The sequence below is a fragment of the Homo sapiens genome, chromosome 8 (genome assembly GCF_000001405.40).
Source record: "Homo sapiens chromosome 8, GRCh38.p14 Primary Assembly".
Taxonomy (NCBI): Eukaryota; Metazoa; Chordata; class Mammalia; order Primates; family Hominidae; genus Homo; species Homo sapiens.
Genome location: NC_000008.11, coordinates 205484 through 208343, shown reverse-complemented (window position 1 = coordinate 208343; position 2860 = coordinate 205484). Strand labels below are relative to the sequence as shown.

The following is a 2860-nucleotide window of genomic DNA, read 5'->3' as shown; positions in this document are numbered from 1 at the left end:
TCCACATTGTCATTTCTTCTGTGTATATCAACCTTCTGTGTCATTTGTTAAAATTCATCACCAAACGCAAAGGCACATAGCTTTTCTTCTATAGTTTCTTCTAGAAATTGTATAGTTTTGCATTTTTAGTGTAAGGATGATTTTGAGTGGTTATTTGTGTAAGTTGTAAAGTTTTCATCTACATGCATATGATTTCTTATGGTTTCCAATTAATCATTCCCTCACTATTTTTGGGAAAGACACAGGATAGTGGGCTCTGTTAGAGTAGATAGCTAGCTAGACGTGAACAGGAGGGGGAGCTCCTGGAAAAGGGAAAGTCTGTGAAGGCTCACCTGGAGGGACCACCAAAAATGCACATATTAGTAGCATCTCCAGTGCTGGAGTGGATGGGCACTTGTCAATTGTGCTTAGGAGGGAGAAGAGGTACCTACACAGAAACACCCTAGAACTTCTCTTAAGATGCCCCAATCATCATTCACTGCAATAAAAATGTCAGAATATTGCTAGCTACATGCTGATAAGAAGGACAAAGGGGACATTCCTAAGAGAAACCTGGCACCATAAGTACAGATTAGGGCAGAGAAAGACATTCAAAAGAGGCAGGTGCAGTAGATACAAACGTGACTGCTGTCAGCCTGCCTGGGATGGCGGGAAGGAGGTTGGTGCCAGAGTGGATTCAGATTCATCACCCCACGTGTACCTCAATCAACAGGAGGTCCCACAAGCCTAAGTGGGGCAAGTCAGGGACCTAAGGCAGTAGCAGGAAAACCAAGGAAAACAAGCATAGACTTGAGACAGAGGCAGGAATGTGAAGAAGTCCAAAATAAAATTCCCTGCACAGGACTCTTAGGCTGTTTTCATGCACTATGAACCCACTCCTCCCTATTTTCCTACAATAAGCTCTTTACACTGTATTTCTTTTCAATGAAGTTATCTTCCATCTTTGTACTGCCTCTTGGTGAAAATCTTTCTTCCAAGTTAATAACTGGGACATCAGCTCTCCCCAGTAATAGCTCCTTTTCAGTTTTCATTTACAGAACTGATGGGGATTAATAACTGGCGCTCTGACTTTAAGTGGTGCAGGAGGCGGCCAGTAGGGGACGCCAGCCGTCACACCGGGAGCAAGAGGGCCCTGCTTAGTCCCCATCTGCCTGCATGTGGCGTGCAGCCACGACAGTGTCAGCAAGAGGGCCCGGCAGTGTCCCTAGCTGCCAGCAGGGGGCGAACAACGACTACACTGTGAGCAAGAGGGCCCTGCAGTGTCCTTAGCTGCCAGGAGGTGGCGTAGGGGCACCACACCATGAACAAGAGGACCGTGCAGTGCCCTGGTTGCCAGCAGGGGGCGTGCTGCCACTACACTGAGCAAGAGGATCCTGTAGTGCCCCCAGCGGACAGAAGAGGGCGTGCCCCGACTACACTGCAAGCAAGAGGGCCCGGCAGTGTCCCCAGCTGCCAGCAGGGGAGCAGCCGCCACTACACTTGGAGCAAGAGGGCCCGGCAGTGTCCCCAGCTGCCAGCAGGCGGGTGTGCTGCCACTACAATGTGAGCAAGAGGGCCCTGCAATGTCCCTAGCTGCCAGCAGGCGGCGTGCCGCCAGTATACTGCGAGCAAGAGAGCCCTGCCGTGCCCCGTCGCCAGCAGGAGGCGCTGGACACCACTGTAAGGAAGAGGGCCCTGAAGTTGCCCTAGTTGCCAGCAGGGGGCGCAATGGCACAGCACCGTGGGCAAGCAGGTCCTGTAGTGCCCGGGTACAAGCAGGGGGCACCCGAACCGGGCTTTTCAGATTACTCAGGTTCCACCCGTCTGTGCGCTGCGCCGCCGGGGACGTGTGTCTCTGCGCCTGCACCTCGCCATTCCCGCGCTCCCCGCCCGGCGGCGTGCAACTGTACACCTGCAACACGCCCCGCCATCCTGAGCCCAGCGACGTGCGTCTCTGCGCCTGCGCCTGCGCCGCGCCTCACTCCCGCCCGCCCAGCGACCCCTCCCCTCCGGGGACGCGGAGGCGTGCGTCTATGCCCTGCGCCGCGTCTCCCGAACAGCTCCTGCGCCGGCGCGCCGCGCCTCTCTGCGCCAGCGCCGGCGCGCCGTGCCTTTGCGAGAGCGGAGTTGGGTTCTCCTCAGCACAGACGCGGAGAGCATCGCGAGGGCGGAGCTGCGTTCTCATCTGCACAGATTTCAGTGGTACTGCGAAGGCGGAGCAGAGTTCTCCTCAGGTCAGACCCGGGCGGGCGGGCTGAGGGCACCGCGAGGGCGGAGCTGCGTTCTGCTTAGCACAGACCTGGGGGACACCGTAAAGGTGGAGCAGCATTCTCCTAAGCACAGACGTTGGGGGCACTGCCTGGCTTTGGGACAACTCGGGGCCGCATCGACGGTGAATAAAATCTTTCCCGGTTGCAGCCGTTAATAATCAAGGTCAGAGACCAGTTAGAACGGTTCAGTGTGGAAAACGGGAAACCAAAAGCCCCTCTGAATCCTGCGCACCGAGATTCTCCCAAGTCAAGGCGAGGGGCTGCATTGCAGGGGCCAACTGCAGTGTCGGAACACAAATGCAGCATTCCTAATGCACACATGACACCCAAAATATAATACCCACATTGCTCATGTGGTTTAGGGTTAGGGTGAGGGTTAGGGGTTAGGGGTTAGGGTTGGGGTTGGGGTAGGGTTAGGGTTAAGGGTTAGGGTTAGGGGTTAGGGTTAGGGGTTAGGGTTAGGGTTCGGGTTCGGGTTCGGGCTAGGGGTAGGGTTAGGGTTAGGGGTTAGGGTTTAGGGTTAGGGGTCGGGGTCAGGGTCGGGTTGGGGTTGGGGTTGGGTTTAGGGTTGGGGTTGGGGTTAGGGGTTAGGGGTTAGGGATAGGGGTTAG

General features: G+C 55.5%; 2 annotated features.

Moving 5' to 3' along the window:
- Positions 1096-1318: a silencer, noted in NCBI's record as "fragment chr8:157026-157248 (GRCh37/hg19 assembly coordinates)". NCBI's record gives its function as "represses an EF-1alpha promoter that drives an FKBP-Casp9 reporter gene in an ReSE screen in K562 erythroleukemia cells {active_cell/tissue: K562}" and the evidence as "EXISTENCE:reporter gene assay evidence [ECO:0000049][PMID:32094911]".
- Positions 1443-1522: a silencer, noted in NCBI's record as "silent region_18876". NCBI's record gives its function as "represses an Ori minimal core promoter by ATAC-STARR-seq in GM12878 lymphoblastoid cells {active_cell/tissue: GM12878}" and the evidence as "EXISTENCE:reporter gene assay evidence [ECO:0000049][PMID:35858748]".